The 18503-nt window shown below is 35.1% G+C and overlaps 1 protein-coding gene across 11 annotated transcripts in view; it reads left to right on the forward strand.

The window, feature by feature from the left end:
* The window catches only part of GHR (growth hormone receptor), a 298440-nt gene extending 282859 nt beyond the window's left edge, over positions 1-15581 (forward strand). For 10 of the 11 annotated variants that reach the window (NM_000163.5, NM_001242460.2, NM_001242400.2 and 7 more), the window contains 4 exons: positions 4910-5075; positions 7132-7222; positions 11755-11824; positions 12156-15581. In NM_000163.5, the coding sequence (NP_000154.1) occupies positions 4910-5075; positions 7132-7222; positions 11755-11824; positions 12156-13127 (1299 nt within the window). In that variant the 3' untranslated portion in view covers positions 13128-15581. The remainder of the gene's footprint in view (positions 1-4909; positions 5076-7131; positions 7223-11754; positions 11825-12155) is intronic. The other variant, NM_001242462.1, reaches the window with a different exon arrangement.

The following is an 18503-nucleotide window of genomic DNA, read 5'->3' on the forward strand; positions in this document are numbered from 1 at the left end:
TTGTCAGATGTATAGTTTGCAAATATTTTCAGCCATTCTGTAGATTATCTGTTTTTTCAGTTGTTTCTTTTGCTGTGCAGAAGCTCTTTGGTTTAATTAGATCCCATTTGTCAATTTTTGTTTTTGTTGCAATTGTTTTTGGCATCTTTGTCATGAAACCTTTGCTAAGGCCTATGTCCAGAATGGTATTTCCTAGGTTTTCTTCTAGGGTTTTTATAGTTTGGGGTTTTGCATTTAAACCTTTAATCCATCTTGAGTTGATAGTCGTACATGTTGAAAGGAAGGGGTCCAGTTTCAATCTTCTGCATATAACTAGCCAGTTACCCAGCACCATTTATTAAACAGTGTTTTCCTCATTTCCTGTTTTTGTCAACTTTGTCAAATATTAGTTGGTTGCAGGTATGAGGCTTTATTTTGGGGTTCTCTGTTCTGTTCCATTGATCTATGTGTCTTCTTTTTTAACCAGTACCATACTGTTTTGATTCCTGTAGCCTTGTAGTATAATTTGAAGTCAGGTAATGTGATGCCCCTGGGTTTATTCTTTTTAGTTAGGATTGCTTTGACTATTTGGGCTGTTTTTTGCTTCCATATGAATTTTACAATTGTTTTTTCTAAATCTGTGAAAAATTACATTGATAATTTGATAGGCATTGCATTGAATGTGTAGATTGGCTTGGGCAGTATGGTCATCTTAACGATATTGATTCTTCTAATCCATAAGCATGGAATGTTTTTCCATTTGCGTTATCTGTCATTTTCTTTCATCAGTGTTTTATAGTTCTACTTATAAAGATATTTCACCTCCTTTGTTAAATGTATTCCTAGGTTTCTGTGTGTGTGTGTGGCTATAATAGGCTATGTTAACCTGATAACAATTTAACTTTCTTGCATAAAAAACTCTACACTTTTACTCCACATACCGCCCCCCCAAACACATTTTAAATTTTTGATGTCACACTTACATCTTTTTATATTGCATATTTCTTAACAAATTATTGTACCTAGTATTATTTTTAATAATTTTATCTTTTAACCTTCATTCTAAAATAAAAGTGATTTGCATATTACCATGAAAATATTAGACAGGTAATGTGATGCCCCTGGGTTTATTCATTTTAGTTAGGATTGCTTTGCCAATTGGGCTGTTTTTTGCTTCCATATGAATTTTACAATTGTTTTTTCTAATTCTCTGAAAAATTACATTGATAATTTGATAGGTATTGCACTGAATGTGTAGATTGGCTTGGGCAGTATGGTCATCTTAACAATATTGATTCTTCTAATCCATAAGCATGGAATGTTTTTCCATTTGCGTTATCTGTCATTTTCTTTCATCAGTGTTTTATAGTTCTACTTATAAAGATATTTCACCTCCTTTGTTAAATGTATTCCTAGGTTTCTGTGTGTGTGTGTGGCTATAATAGGCTATTTTAACCTGATAACAATTTAAGTTTCTTGCATAAAAAACTCTACACTTTTACTCCACATACTCCACACACACACACGTTTTAAATTTTCGATGTCACACTTACATCTTTTTATATTGCATATTTCTTAACAAATTATTGTACCTAGTATTATTTTTAATAATTTTGTCTTTTAACCTTCATTCTAAAAAGTGATTTGCATATTACCATGAAAATATTAGACTACTTTAAATTGGACTGTGTACTTACTTTTACTAGTGAGTTTTATACTTTCATATGTTTTTATGTTACTCATTAGCCTCCTTTTCTTTCAGCTAAAGACCTCCCTTTAGCAGTTCTTGTAAGATAGGTCTGTTGGTGAGGAATGGTTAATTTAAATATAACAAAGTACAAAAAGTTCATCAGTAGAGTTTCAGGTTTCATTTTTCCACTAACCTGTAAGAATTTATCATTTGAGTTTTAGTCTATTGTTAAACAGAAATGTTCACAATTATGTGAAAAGTTTATTAAAATATTCCTCATTTTCCTCATTATTTATCTGTGTGAGGCCAGGTTTTATTCATTTACGAAAATAGCACATTCTAATAGATTTAATTCAGAAGCAGTTATAAAAATACAGTCATCTTCCTTTAAGTCTGACATTAAATAAATTTGCAAAAATGTAAAACAGTATCACTCTTCTCACTCTCTTTTTTGTTGTTTGGGAAAGTACAATAATTTTTATGAAAATATATTATTTAACAAAATCAATTTATTATTTTCAGTTTAAAAATAAGGATTTTAAAATTTTTTCATTTCAATTTCTAATACTGTAAATAGTGATAGGTATAACCCAACTAAACCAAACTCTTTAAGATTCTCAAATTTTTAAGAGTGTAAAGGAGTCCTGAAATAAAAAAGTTAAACAACCTAGAAAAAAACAAAGATATAAATCAGCATGTTAGCATTCATCAATTCAGTTACCATCATTTCATCCCTAAAAGCCATGGCATATAGTTACGTCTCACTGAGCCACCACTTTGAAACTCCCACCCTGTGCCAGGTACTTGTGAGCATGTAACTTTGTTAATCAACTGTTCAGGGCTATATCCCAACATGGCTTTGTTGCACTTTTCGTGGCACCTCTGCTAAATCTCGTTAGGTAGACCAAAGGGGTCAGTTAACTTTTTCTTTATACCTTTTATTCATGATATTTATAAGTTTGGTAATTTACAAAGGTCTTGGACAAAGACCAGGGGCTTATATATAATAATTTATTTATCTCTTGAAGAAACAAACAATATAATTGGTTATGAAGCACAGGCGTCATAAGCAGAAAACAGGTTTATAGGTAAAGGGGGAAGACCTAGTGTGTGTCGCTTGCATCAGGAATTCATGTTACCATTTGGCAATATGAATTTGCTTAGCAGTGTGCTTTTTTTTCTCCCCCCCACAGGATCTTGCTCTGTCCCCAGGCTAGAGTACAGTGGCCCAATCTCGGCTCACTGCAACCTCCACCTCCAGAGTTCAAGTGATTCTCGTGCCTCAGACTCCTGAGTAGCTAGGATTACAGGCGCAAGCCACCACACCCAGCTAATACAGCTAATTTTTGTATTTTTAGTAGAGACAGGGTTTCATCATGTTGGCCAGACTGGTCTCGAACTCCTGACCTCAGGTCATCTGCCAACCTCGGCCTCCCAAAGTGCTGGGATTATAGGCATGAGCCACTGTGCCTGGCTGCCCTTTTTAGTAAATACATTTTGCATGACCATGTGGTTGTTTACAGCTATTTATCTAGTAAACCAATAACTTACAGCTTTTTAAAGGCTTAATGAATAGCATGGAATTATTCATGATATCTGTGCCATATCTTGAGGACCCACTGTATACCTGATATTGCACTGGACTTTGGAAATGAAAAATAATGAGTGATCTTGGGGAATTTACAATGTAACATAGAAAGGTGTGTATCACTAAATTTGCACAATGAAACATAATTAATAATAGAAGAAGTATATTATCTGGCAGAATAGAGTGGGGAAAAGTACCAGCAAAGACTTAGAATACCAGCTCTCCTCAATACTTGCACTTAGACTTGGATGAGAAACAGTTCCCCGCACAGGCAGATGACAGGGTTAGGTATGATAGGAGCCACGTAAGTAGGAGCCACTCGAAATCTGAGTTTGGTGTGGCTGGTGTGGAGGGTTGAGGGAATATGAAGAGAGGACCACAACTTGAATCACTGAGGGCCCTTTTTTGATCCTATTAGTGAAATCTTTAAAGAAATTGTATTGGTGACAATAACAGAGAAATAAGGGCTTTGAGGATGAAAACATAGGCTTTAAAAAAAAAACTTAAGAAAAAAATAATAAAGTAAGTTCAGTATTCAGTGTCCTGCCTTAAAGAAAGCATTTTAGGCATGCAAATATCCCATATATTCAGAGGCTTCTATAAAAAATACAAACAAACCCTGTCATATACACATGAGGCAAAAAAAGATACTTTGTGAGTAGAAACTATTGAGGTAAAAGAAAAACTTGTTTTAGAAGCTGAAGGCCCAGCTGCTGACTTAATAAAACAAATTATGAGAATTTTGTTTATGCGAAAATCCATGCTGTTGAAAACGCGAGTGTTTAAAGTTTTCTATAAACAGGAACAAGGTGTTCTACCAAAAAAAAGTATAAAAGCACATTGAATAACTGCTTTGAGTATTTGACTTGGAGGAAACTACCATCACTAGTTGAGTATACCTCTTTGATAGCAATATGTGTTAAAAGTCTAACAGTCTCACTCTACCCCTCCCCGAGAAGGTAAAGGAATATCCTGACCTTAAGGGTTGTGAGACCTAGATGTTTCTTACCAAAGAACTCCGGTGACTTTTCTTTGCAGATTTTAAATAGCAAACTATTTTATGGTGGCTTTAAGCCTTCCAGAGCAAGCAGATTAGGTATGTAGTTCCTTTTAATAAAAGTATTTGGAAGTTCAATAAAGGCAATTATGATTTTTCTAGGACCTTTTCCAATTCTGTGATTATGTGAATGACTACCCGGAATTTCCATCAAACACTGATATACAACTTGCTATGGCTACAATTTATTTTGGTGTGAAAACATGTTTGCTTTTCTGTTCTTATGTCTCCCTTCATACAAAAGTATAATATCCCAGATATGTAGGCATATAGTTCTGCCATTCAGAGTAATTCTAATATACTTTAATCTTATTAACTATCTGGAAGACTAATGCACAGTTATAGCTGCATTTCTTTAAGCAAGTCTATCATATCTTTGGGTTTATGCCAAACTAAATTTGTGAACTATTATCCATTTACAAAATGATTATTTACATCAATCTTCCTTTAAATAACAAATGCTCACAATGCATTTTAAAATATTACCTACTTTATAAAAATCCATTCTGAATAAAAATGGGAGAATACCTGTAGTGTTCATTGCATTGAGTTGTTGACTCTTTGGCCAATATGCGTTTATATTTTGTCTTGAAAGATGGACCCTATATTGACAACATCAGTTCCAGTGTACTCATTGAAAGTGGATAAGGAATATGAAGTGCGTGTGAGATCCAAACAACGAAACTCTGGAAATTATGGCGAGTTCAGTGAGGTGCTCTATGTAACACTTCCTCAGATGAGCCAATTTACATGTGAAGAAGGTAAAAGAAATAAAAGATTAAAATAGTAGCTAACCTGGCTTTTGTCAATATAACAGTTGATTCACCCCTGCACTGGTAGTGTGTTGTCCAAATCAAAATATATTAACATCAGATATCAGGATGAGAGACCTTGAGCTCACTATCTGTAACAGATATTGTTCATTGCAAAAGCAGAAGGAAGATTTAGTTTCCAAATTTTTCATTCAGGAGAAGTCCGGGGGGCAGGTGGAAGTTTAGAGACAGGAATTTGGTGGCAATCTCCGGATGGTAGAATTCAGATGATTCTTTTCTTTATATATTTTTATATTTCTGAAATTTTCTATAGTAAGTTTGTTTTGAATTTATAATCAGGAAAAAAAGCTGTACTGATGGTTAGGGAAGAAAGTATGTATCTATATGGATGGATAGATATGTGACATCTAAGAGGAAACCCAATATTGAGTCAGCATAGGTAGTCAACAGCAGGTGCATACGGTTTTAGAAAGCGGAGGTGTGGCTTTTACCTAGAGGAATGCCTAATAAGTAGTGTGGCAGTCATACTTAAAGGAGACGTGGAACATTTGAAAACCCTATGTAGGAGAATCACAACAATGATTAAAGTTTTTAAAAATGGGACCTATGAATTTAGAATAAAAGAATTAAAACTTTTAGATACAGAAATAAAGAAAACTGATTAATGATGAGCAGAAAGTATAGAGTATTATTATTCTCAAATGGGAAATGGCTCTATTCCATCTTCATTGAAAACAGAAGTTTACAGGGCTATATGTTTGTTAATGAAACAACCACAAGCTACATAGAAAATAAATTTATATTTCTGTATTTACTATACAGGTAGAATCTCATGATACTAAATAGCATTAGGATGAAAATTTCTATAGCACCATTTTCTCTATACTCTAGTTAACTGAATTCTTGTTTCCAAACTATTTGATATTATGCAATTCTGGCCTTAAAAGTACAATAGCTATACACCCTTAAGCTTAGTGTAGTGGCATTTAATTCACTTAACATATATTTTTTAAACTGCCTTTTCCTTCTGTTACTAACAAAAAAGAAGCTCTAACTTTATGTTATTTTCCTGAATATGTCATTGATATGAAATTATAGACACTACAAGACAAAAAATGATTTTTTCTCCCCCACCAATTCTTTAAAATGCTTATAATATCTCCCTAGGGGATTTTAATAACTTTTTAAATAAGAAAAGACTATTTCAGCATAAAGACCTACATTTTAAATGGCAATGTTAAGGTAAATTTCATCTGTCATTTTTATAAAAAAGTGGTTAGCCTCTGCCTCTGTGGTAAGAATACTGGGTACCAACTGCAAAGTAGCTGGCAGGTACTCAATCTTAAGGAATGAAATAGAAGTTTTACAAACAGGTTCCCCCAAGTCTCATACAAAGTATACTAAAACCTGAAGATGGGAGCCTCAGTAGTGATCTTTCTGTCAATTTTATGTATATAATATACATGAGATATATTTATTATATTTTAATAATTTAATTTATTGATATAAATACGTATATTTATAGCTGTAAAATATATGTTATTTGTGTCTAAGAAGTTTCTGTCATGATTTATCAATAAAAACTCTGCCTTCATCTTTTTGATAAATCTTCAATCTGGAAACTAAGAAAATCACCACACTTAAAAAAAAATAGAAAAGAAACCGAGTGGGCATTATTTAGGTAGTGTGTTAATAAGCAACACTTTTTTACTGAAGCTGAAACCTTTATGATACTCCCTGGACACATAGTATGCTTAAAGCAGATTGTTTGTTTTCATAAAACACACATTGATTTTGAACTATATGCTGTTTCTTTATTTTGAAGTTTTTTTTTAATGTGAGGAGATTTGAAAAGTGGACAGAGATGTTCATAAAACAGAAAAAAACTAAGTCGTTGCATTCTGTTTCAGTGGTTATCAAGAGAAATCACTGACTTTATTAGATGAATACAAATTATGAATTTTTTGTGAAAAGGGAAAGGGAAATGTAAACTGTGCTTCAACTATTCGTAATTCTGAAAGCGAAATATTCTTGTGTGTTTCAGATTTCTACTTTCCATGGCTCTTAATTATTATCTTTGGAATATTTGGGCTAACAGTGATGCTATTTGTATTCTTATTTTCTAAACAGCAAAGGTAGGTGTGGAGTAGTATTCTTTGGTATTTTGTACCAGTTGTTTAGATTTCCATATGTGTTTCTATTTGTTATTTGATATTTTCTTTGTCAAATTATGAGTGGAAATTTTAGTTAACCTAGTACACTTTTATCTCCAGTTATATATTTACCATTCATATAAAACTCAATTTGTTGTATTTATCTTAGACAATTTAGAGGTTTAGATTCTATCTGGAGACTTGTACAGGACATTAAGAGGCTTAGGCTGGTGACTATGCATACCTTGTGATATGTACCTCTTTATCCAAGAGCTAGCTCTTTCCCTCAAGTCCTCAACAAGTTGACCCATTCATTCCAGGACTTCAAAGTATCACTGAGCCTTTGGCTGAGTCTGATACAGTCCTTATATACAGACAATTTTTTTTTTTCCTTGAGACGGAGTCTTACTCTGTTGCCCAGGCTGGAGTGCAATGGCGCAATCTTGGCTCACTGCAACCGCCGCCCCCCAGGTTCAAGCAATTCTCCTGCCTCAGCCTCCAGAGTAGCTGGGATTACAGGCATGCGCCACCAAGCCCAGCTAATTTTGTATTTTTAGATACAGTTTCACCATGTTGGTCAGACTGGTCTCGAACTCCTGACCTCAGGTGATCTGCCCACCTCAGCCTCCCAAAGCGCTGGGATTACAGGCGTGAGCTACCGCGCCTGGCCCCATTTAAGGTATTTTTAAAGTCCCAATGGTTAATCTTGTTGCTTCTCCTAGAATTAAGGTGACTAACACTCCCAGGTTGCCTAGAACTCTCCTGGTTTTTAGCAATGCAAGTCCGGTGTGCCAGGAAATCCCTCAGTTCCAGGTAACCAAGACAGTTGATCCCCTTACCTAGAATTGAAAATACGTTCTCCAGCTGAAGCCAAGAGGCATCTATAAATCAAAATGAGATCTATGTTAATATATTTTAAAAGATTTTACTTTGTTTTGTAAGGTAGTATAGCACTTGTAAACTTCAAAACAGAATTTTGTTAGGAAGAAGAATTATTGGGACGCTAGATTTCTATAGTGTCAAGCATGCTAAAAGTCTAACTGAATGCAGAAAGGGTTATTTTCAGTAGAGCTTCATGTCCAATTTTATAATATAAACCAATTGGAAAGTAAAATTCATTCTGAATTCCATTTTGCACCTAACTTTCTGGCAACATTCCTGTTTTCCAAAAAAGCAGCTATCATAAATCACAACACAATTTTCTATTGTTTCAGGAAAATAAATAAATATATTTTTAGAATTTTAATTTGTGTATTTAAGTAATGCCAACAACAAAAAAGCCAAATTATTCTGTTGATTAATTTCAGTTTATTAATCTATATATTTGGTGGGAAAATTTATACATAACTTCAGTAGATAAACTCACGAGGTATGTAAAGTAATTAGCTCTTAGTATTAGCTGTGAATTTCTAGCCATTGTGAAGGCCAAGTCAATTTGTTATGTTGTTTAGTTATATTAGTTAACAATATTAGGAAGAAAAAATTATCCTCTCAAAAAGTAGGATTTCCAAGAAAACATATTACTTCTAATACAGTGCTTTTTATAAATAATGAAATGCTTAACTATAATGTTTAGTCAAAATCACCAAATTCTACAATTGATTTGAAATCTTTATTGTTCTCCCAAATTTCCTGCACTAAATTGAATTTTCTGTAGGAAAGAATTAACTTTATTTTTTATTTGCCCATTAAAAACGCTTATCATTGTCTAAATTTGCATGTTCTACTGAAAGTGGGAAATAGTAGCAAATATTTGTCAGCAAGTATGGACAGAACATGTAGTTCCAACAATTAAATTGATACTGCAAAGAACGAGATTTTTCCTAGAACTGTAGGGCTGTAAAGTGGCGTCAGGTCCTACATGCCTTTGAAATTTTCTGAGTCCACAATTCATTATCCAACCCACTTCACCCTGCTTTAATCCAGTTAATTGAGTCAACTCTAGCAAAATTTATAATTTTATTTGTATCTGATACAAAACCACAAACATAGTTTCAAGTCAGGCTATTATTATACTGGTTCCTACCACACAACCCTCCCAGCCTTTGAGCTGTTACCAATTGAGGAAAGAAATAACTGAATCAGCCTAAAATAGAATTTCCAAACCAGTAGCGAAATTCAGCCTACAGATTCATATTTTGTTATTTTATTTTAATTAGTTTTGATTTCAGAGTGAAGATTTTCCTACAAAGTGTTTGTAAAATAGAGAATTTTCACACAAAAATCCAGATTTGGGGATTATCTTTTAAAAAATGAAAGATGTAGTGAAACTAAACAAGGCAGCATATGCTGCAGCAGACAACCAGCTATCCTATTTGGGATTGGCTCACATTCTTTAATTTGCCACCATCCTCATTCCTCCTAATGACTTTGCAACTGGCTTGCTTTATTCCTCTGCATGACCTGCTTGGGCCTCTTAGATTTATGCTCTGCCACTGTGGCATAAGGTCACTACAACCACTAGAAAACCACTAGCGCATGCCTGAATGCATCATCCTATTTAAAAAGGAAAAGCACACGTCACAAAGTCAAACATCAGCCATTTGGAAACCTTTGCTTCCTGTAATTAGAATTATGTTCCATCTTTTTATGTTTTTGGGAATTTGAAATACCAATTTCGAGATGCAGAATCAAAAAAAAAAAAACAAAACAGCGAAACAGCAGCATGACACAAAGAACCTGGGTTTTGATTTGGAGTCAGGTTCTCTGGGTTTGAGCCCCAACTGTGCCAACTATGAATGCATGATTTGAACATGTTGCTTAATTTTCCAAGTTTTTGCACAGATATATCATCTGCCTCCCTGGGAGTCATAAGGATTAAGTGAAATGTTTAGTGCAGGGGTCACAAACTTATTTCATAGAGTTAGAGTACATTTTTAGGCTTTTCAAGCCATACAGTCTCTATCACAGCTACTCAACTCTGCCACTGTAGCACGAAAGTGGCCATAAACAAAATGGAAATGAATGAAGATGCTTGTGTTCTCATAAAATTTTATCTACACAAACATGTGACAGGCCAGATTTGGCCCACAGACCTTAATTTAGTGACCCATAGTTTAGTGCAAAGTATATCCCACAGTGTCTGATTTATCAGAAGCACTAAAAAATGATAGTAGTTATTATTAATAATTTGTATTACTTATTTCTATATCTGTAATTCATCAGTAACAATATGCTTTAACATTTGCCCCACTGAGTAGTAGAGGCTACTTAATGCAATTTATAAAATGGATTTTTGCTTATTACTTGGATTAGGTAAAATAGCAAGTGGAAATACTGAGAAAATGTACTCCTTATGGAATGGACTGGACTGACCATTCACACTGAGTGGAATAGTAACTGATATCCAAAAATCTGGTTACCACCTCTTCATGACAGTGTCATCTCTGAATAGTCAGGAGTTTTTTAAAAAATTAAATGAATTGTTTGGAATAATCTCTGAGCCTTTTTCCAGTGCTATAATTTGATTTTAAAAAATAAACTCCAGGCCAGATACAATGGCTTATAGCATATAAATCCAGCACTTTGGGAGGATGGGGCGGGAGTATTGCCCTGAGGCCAGGAGTTCCAGACAGCTCGGGCAATGACTAGAGCAAGACTCCATTACAAAAAATGAAACAACAAAAATTAGCACACCCTGTAGTCCTAGCTACTTAGGAGGCTGAGGCAAGAATATCGCTTGGCCCAGGAGTTTGAGGCTGCAGTGAATTATGATTGCACCACTGGACTCCAGTGTGGGCAATGAAGTAAGACCCTGTCTCAAAAAGTTTTAAAAAAAATTAAAAACACCATAAATTCCAATTACACTATTAATTGTACAAAATAGATACATGATTTATTCATTTTTATGACCAAAAAATAATTTAAAGATTTGGAACAAAAAATGTAAGTGCATCCTAGAATTGTATATATAAACCCATACTGATTAGTTAGAGATAGTTAAAATTTAATCTGTCCCATCTGAAATGAACCCTGTAGTAAAACCCTGGTTAATAAGATCATCTTAGATAATTTCATAATTAATATGAACTATATGGCTAACCTACCCAAGTCTACCCTTTTTCAAGGGTGTAAGTAATCTTGGCTCCATGTGGATTGACTCTTTTTTCTTTCTTTCCTGTACAAATTACTGATGAGATGTACACTAGAATTGCCTTATAGCTGAAATGGAAATCAGCTTTAGATGAAATTAAATTTCTTTCTTTCAAATACTAAATCTGGCTGAAAATAAAAAGCATTAAGAAAAAAACAATTGTGGGAAAACCACATTTTCTTTTAATAGACTTCAGATGAGGCTTTTTGGGTTTTTTAGTTGTTCTTTTTTTTCCTTCTACAGTTTTTCTTTCTCATTTACTGTCTAATATTTTCTTCTGTTTCTCACACTCCAATTATATAAAGTACCAGAATATTTGGAAAAAGTAATAGTATTGCCAATATTTTATTTCTATCTTTTGCTATAATTGAGAATATGTAGCTTTTAAGATGTCAAAACCAAAATTTTATATGTTTTCAAGGATTAAAATGCTGATTCTGCCCCCAGTTCCAGTTCCAAAGATTAAAGGAATCGATCCAGATCTCCTCAAGGTAACTAATAATTTTATCTAAATTGTAGCTAGTACTAATTAACACCTGAAGACTCCTGTCATATGTTGAAGGTTTTCTGTAAGCTATATATATCACATTCAATTTTCTTGTGTCTCTTCTCCTGGAGAAAATTTTTTTAAATATTCTATTTCTTAAAAATAAGAAAACGTCATATGTATTTAAAAAGTTACACACTAATTTATGTTTTTTTATATGTTTTGTTACTGTTGTTCTTATTGTAACCATAATTAATCTCTGAACATTATTTGCTAATTCATTTAATTATTATGAGTTTCTTTTCATAGATCTTCATTTTCTTTCTATTTTCTAGGAAGGAAAATTAGAGGAGGTGAACACAATCTTAGCCATTCATGATAGCTATAAACCCGAATTCCACAGTGATGACTCTTGGGTTGAATTTATTGAGCTAGATATTGATGAGCCAGATGAAAAGACTGAGGAATCAGACACAGACAGACTTCTAAGCAGTGACCATGAGAAATCACATAGTAACCTAGGGGTGAAGGATGGCGACTCTGGACGTACCAGCTGTTGTGAACCTGACATTCTGGAGACTGATTTCAATGCCAATGACATACATGAGGGTACCTCAGAGGTTGCTCAGCCACAGAGGTTAAAAGGGGAAGCAGATCTCTTATGCCTTGACCAGAAGAATCAAAATAACTCACCTTATCATGATGCTTGCCCTGCTACTCAGCAGCCCAGTGTTATCCAAGCAGAGAAAAACAAACCACAACCACTTCCTACTGAAGGAGCTGAGTCAACTCACCAAGCTGCCCATATTCAGCTAAGCAATCCAAGTTCACTGTCAAACATCGACTTTTATGCCCAGGTGAGCGACATTACACCAGCAGGTAGTGTGGTCCTTTCCCCGGGCCAAAAGAATAAGGCAGGGATGTCCCAATGTGACATGCACCCGGAAATGGTCTCACTCTGCCAAGAAAACTTCCTTATGGACAATGCCTACTTCTGTGAGGCAGATGCCAAAAAGTGCATCCCTGTGGCTCCTCACATCAAGGTTGAATCACACATACAGCCAAGCTTAAACCAAGAGGACATTTACATCACCACAGAAAGCCTTACCACTGCTGCTGGGAGGCCTGGGACAGGAGAACATGTTCCAGGTTCTGAGATGCCTGTCCCAGACTATACCTCCATTCATATAGTACAGTCCCCACAGGGCCTCATACTCAATGCGACTGCCTTGCCCTTGCCTGACAAAGAGTTTCTCTCATCATGTGGCTATGTGAGCACAGACCAACTGAACAAAATCATGCCTTAGCCTTTCTTTGGTTTCCCAAGAGCTACGTATTTAATAGCAAAGAATTGACTGGGGCAATAACGTTTAAGCCAAAACAATGTTTAAACCTTTTTTGGGGGAGTGACAGGATGGGGTATGGATTCTAAAATGCCTTTTCCCAAAATGTTGAAATATGATGTTAAAAAAATAAGAAGAATGCTTAATCAGATAGATATTCCTATTGTGCAATGTAAATATTTTAAAGAATTGTGTCAGACTGTTTAGTAGCAGTGATTGTCTTAATATTGTGGGTGTTAATTTTTGATACTAAGCATTGAATGGCTATGTTTTTAATGTATAGTAAATCACGCTTTTTGAAAAAGCGAAAAAATCAGGTGGCTTTTGCGGTTCAGGAAAATTGAATGCAAACCATAGCACAGGCTAATTTTTTGTTGTTTCTTAAATAAGAAACTTTTTTATTTAAAAAACTAAAAACTAGAGGTGAGAAATTTAAACTATAAGCAAGAAGGCAAAAATAGTTTGGATATGTAAAACATTTATTTTGACATAAAGTTGATAAAGATTTTTTAATAATTTAGACTTCAAGCATGGCTATTTTATATTACACTACACACTGTGTACTGCAGTTGGTATGACCCCTCTAAGGAGTGTAGCAACTACAGTCTAAAGCTGGTTTAATGTTTTGGCCAATGCACCTAAAGAAAAACAAACTCGTTTTTTACAAAGCCCTTTTATACCTCCCCAGACTCCTTCAACAATTCTAAAATGATTGTAGTAATCTGCATTATTGGAATATAATTGTTTTATCTGAATTTTTAAACAAGTATTTGTTAATTTAGAAAACTTTAAAGCGTTTGCACAGATCAACTTACCAGGCACCAAAAGAAGTAAAAGCAAAAAAGAAAACCTTTCTTCACCAAATCTTGGTTGATGCCAAAAAAAAATACATGCTAAGAGAAGTAGAAATCATAGCTGGTTCACACTGACCAAGATACTTAAGTGCTGCAATTGCACGCGGAGTGAGTTTTTTAGTGCGTGCAGATGGTGAGAGATAAGATCTATAGCCTCTGCAGCGGAATCTGTTCACACCCAACTTGGTTTTGCTACATAATTATCCAGGAAGGGAATAAGGTACAAGAAGCATTTTGTAAGTTGAAGCAAATCGAATGAAATTAACTGGGTAATGAAACAAAGAGTTCAAGAAATAAGTTTTTGTTTCACAGCCTATAACCAGACACATACTCATTTTTCATGATAATGAACAGAACATAGACAGAAGAAACAAGGTTTTCAGTCCCCACAGATAACTGAAAATTATTTAAACCGCTAAAAGAAACTTTCTTTCTCACTAAATCTTTTATAGGATTTATTTAAAATAGCAAAAGAAGAAGTTTCATCATTTTTTACTTCCTCTCTGAGTGGACTGGCCTCAAAGCAAGCATTCAGAAGAAAAAGAAGCAACCTCAGTAATTTAGAAATCATTTTGCAATCCCTTAATATCCTAAACATCATTCATTTTTGTTGTTGTTGTTGTTGTTGAGACAGAGTCTCGCTCTGTCGCCAGGCTAGAGTGCGGTGGCGCGATCTTGACTCACTGCAATCTCCACCTCCCACAGGTTCAGGCGATTCCCGTGCCTCAGCCTCCTGAGTAGCTGGGACTACAGGCACGCACCACCATGCCAGGCTAATTTTTTTGTATTTTAGCAGAGACGGGGTTTCACCATGTTGGCCAGGATGGTCTCGATCTCCTGACCTCGTGATCCACCCGACTCGGCCTCCCAAAGTGCTGGGATTACAGGTGTAAGCCACCGTGCCCAGCCCTAAACATCATTCTTGAGAGCATTGGGATATCTCCTGAAAAGGTTTATGAAAAAGAAGAATCTCATCTCAGTGAAGAATACTTCTCATTTTTTAAAAAAGCTTAAAACTTTGAAGTTAGCTTTAACTTAAATAGTATTTCCCATTTATCGCAGACCTTTTTTAGGAAGCAAGCTTAATGGCTGATAATTTTAAATTCTCTCTCTTGCAGGAAGGACTATGAAAAGCTAGAATTGAGTGTTTAAAGTTCAACATGTTATTTGTAATAGATGTTTGATAGATTTTCTGCTACTTTGCTGCTATGGTTTTCTCCAAGAGCTACATAATTTAGTTTCATATAAAGTATCATCAGTGTAGAACCTAATTCAATTCAAAGCTGTGTGTTTGGAAGACTATCTTACTATTTCACAACAGCCTGACAACATTTCTATAGCCAAAAATAGCTAAATACCTCAATCAGTCTCAGAATGTCATTTTGGTACTTTGGTGGCCACATAAGCCATTATTCACTAGTATGACTAGTTGTGTCTGGCAGTTTATATTTAACTCTCTTTATGTCTGTGGATTTTTTCCTTCAAAGTTTAATAAATTTATTTTCTTGGATTCCTGATAGTGTGCTTCTGTTATCAAACACCAACATAAAAATGATCTAAACCACTCTGTATACTGTGAATTATCATTGTAAGGAGAGCTTAGCACCACTGGATCAAATACATCAGCATTGGGTATGGAGATTTTTATGTGCTGAGATATAGAGAGGGAAACATATCCCCCTTCCCTTATTTTTTGAGAAGACAAAAGCCCAACTCAGAAATATCCCACTGGCTTGGCCCTCCCCTTAGGCTGTGACTCCCCATAGGCAAAGGTTCATAGAGCTGTGTATTTGATGCATCATGGAAAATAAATGACATGGGTGTTGGATGAGGGAGAGTGATATGTGAGCATTATCTTTACATTTCCAGCTTGAGCATGTTGTCTGGAAGGAAGGAAAGCAGCTCTTCCTCTGCCATTCACCCATTGGCCTAAGTCAGTTTATTGGACTAGCTGCTTGTTATCATGGGAATCAGCTAATAAGTCAGGCTTGGGAGGAAGGCTGATTAGGTAAGTTGTGTAGGAGCCTGAGAGAGCCATGAAGTTTAGATTCCTACAGCAGGAGGCAGGATGCAGGTGAGGTAGCTGCTGAACCCTAGGCTCCTGAGCAGGCACTGGATTCTGAGATGTAGGAATCTGGTGAGGACATTGATAAACCTACTAAACAATGACGTATTGCTTCAGCAAGTCAAATGCAAAGTGCCACAACTTTTTATAATACTCAAGTGTTATGTTAAAAAAAAAAAATGTCTTCACCTGCTGCCCTCTGCCCTGTGAGCAGCCATTACCTGAAAGAACCATGGAGTGAAGCCTCAGGGCTTCTTCATATAGATGCTTTAAGATATGAGGAGTACAGGGAAAAGAAAGCCTGCCTACTTCCATGGATTGAAATAACACAATTCTATTTCAGAAGATTAATGGTGTGTTGAAAATGGCTACACACATCTTTCAGCATTTCAATTTCTCAAAGTTTCTACTAACACTTTATTCAAGTGCTATAATATTTACATATTTACATATTTGTATACCAAAATATGTCTTGTTATGTGCTTGTTTTAGGGTAAGAAATAGTGACCAGAAAAACCAGAAGTTACTTAAATCTAAACTTTTTAGTTTGGAATCCAAGATCCCACATAATTTGCCCCAGTCTCCTTTGAGAGTTTAAAATTTAAGACCTAGATGTAAAGGGCACAGCTTCTGAATAAGAATTTGATGTTTGGTTAACATTCAAACTCTATTGCTGTGGAAATCTAATGAGCATATGATGTCAGCTATGTTACACGGGAAACATTGCTCATAGTTTAAATGATCTCTGACTGATAAATGACATCTGGATAGGGAGAAACTATAACCACCTGGAGATAAGTTATACTTTGGACTTGAGTGTAGTGACTTGTAATTAAGCATTTCCCCTATAGAAACTCTGGAAGCTATGTTTCTGGAGATGTAACAAGAGTAACTGGCTCCAGTGAGGCATAGAGCTTCTAAGCCTGGGAGACTCCTTTACCTGCCCAATACCTTCTCTGAATCTGAGCTGCCAGTTGTAGGAGGAGAGGAAGGAAAAGACCTTCTGGATAGCTATATAAACAGCTGTTTAGATTGCTTCATGCACTGTTATCATTACTGTGACTCTAAAGCAGAAAGCCTGATGCTGTATCCCTTCTGTCCTACATCCCTCTGAGTAGACTGGAACCAAGTATGGTGAATCTGGGGAATGTGTGGTTGAGCCTAAGAAGATCCCCTTGCATATGTAGCAAAAGACACTTGCCATTTCTTGAACAAAGTTTGTGCTTTCCCATCTCTATGTTCTTGGTCATGCCTCCTCCTTCAACTAAAAAGCTCCCACTTACCAACCCTGCCTGTCAAGATTCCCTTCATCCTTCATGGCCCAGCTCTAATGCCTCCTTCATGAACTCTCCTCTGATTCCCACCATCCAATCAGTGATTTTTTCTTCTGAACCATGTTTAATGGTGTTTATCACATTACTTTGGTAGCTCACCTGACAAACGGCTAGTATAGATTTACCAGTATGTACGCTGGTGAATATCTATCTCCAAAATGCCCTTGAATGGATAATTTTGTGGTCAAATAAATTTGGAAAACATCTCATACTACACTCCCATCTGGGAGAGTCATAGTGCATCTTGACATTTTAAAGCTTCTACAGTTTAAAGAAATCCATTTAAATTTAACACATTATTTCCTAATTAATAATGAGAAATAGTTAAAGAATACCCAGTATTATATTATTAACACTTAGGAAAAACCGTATAAGCAGAGTAACACACCTGGCACAAAATAAAGTTATATTAAATTTCAGATGAATGTGAATTTGAACAAAACCTTTTATATGATGTCATTAAATTTTTACTCTCAATAAAACTTCCTAAAAATTGAATGCGAAGGAGCTGCATGATTAAAATAAACACAGATTCTTCTCAACTCAACTCAGATATGACATTTTTCTGAAAGTCTGGATGTCTTAGAGCATTCATTATCTTCTCTATGACAGTGACTTTTTATATGCTTGCTGAAACAGATTTTAACTTTTTCCCTTTTTCAGTCCAAAGAATGATTGACATATGGAATGTACCAATATTAAAAAATTCTGATTCTTATTTAGGACACCCATTTTTCTATGAAATCTGAGCTTATAACACCAAGAAATGCTTATATCACTTCTCATAAGAAGGAGCATATGTTGCTGTGAAACTGCAGAATAATATTTATCTGTTATTATCTGAACAAAAATAACTCACTCCTAATGCTGCCTGCTAAGTTAAAAAAAAAAACTTCGAATATAATAGATTTTTTCACAGTAGTCCCAGGAAGCAGTCTTTGTAGGAATACATAGAAATCAATTTTGTTGATCTCTTGTTAGAAAAGAATCCTTACACAATTGTTCTGTGGGCATTAAGAGATGTTACCAGCTTTTTCTATAAGGATAAAATAATTTGTGAAGAAATTATACTCACTTTGGCTTTGAC

This window comes from Homo sapiens, chromosome 5 (assembly GCF_000001405.40).
Source record: "Homo sapiens chromosome 5, GRCh38.p14 Primary Assembly".
Lineage (NCBI taxonomy): Eukaryota > Metazoa > Chordata > Mammalia > Primates > Hominidae > Homo > Homo sapiens.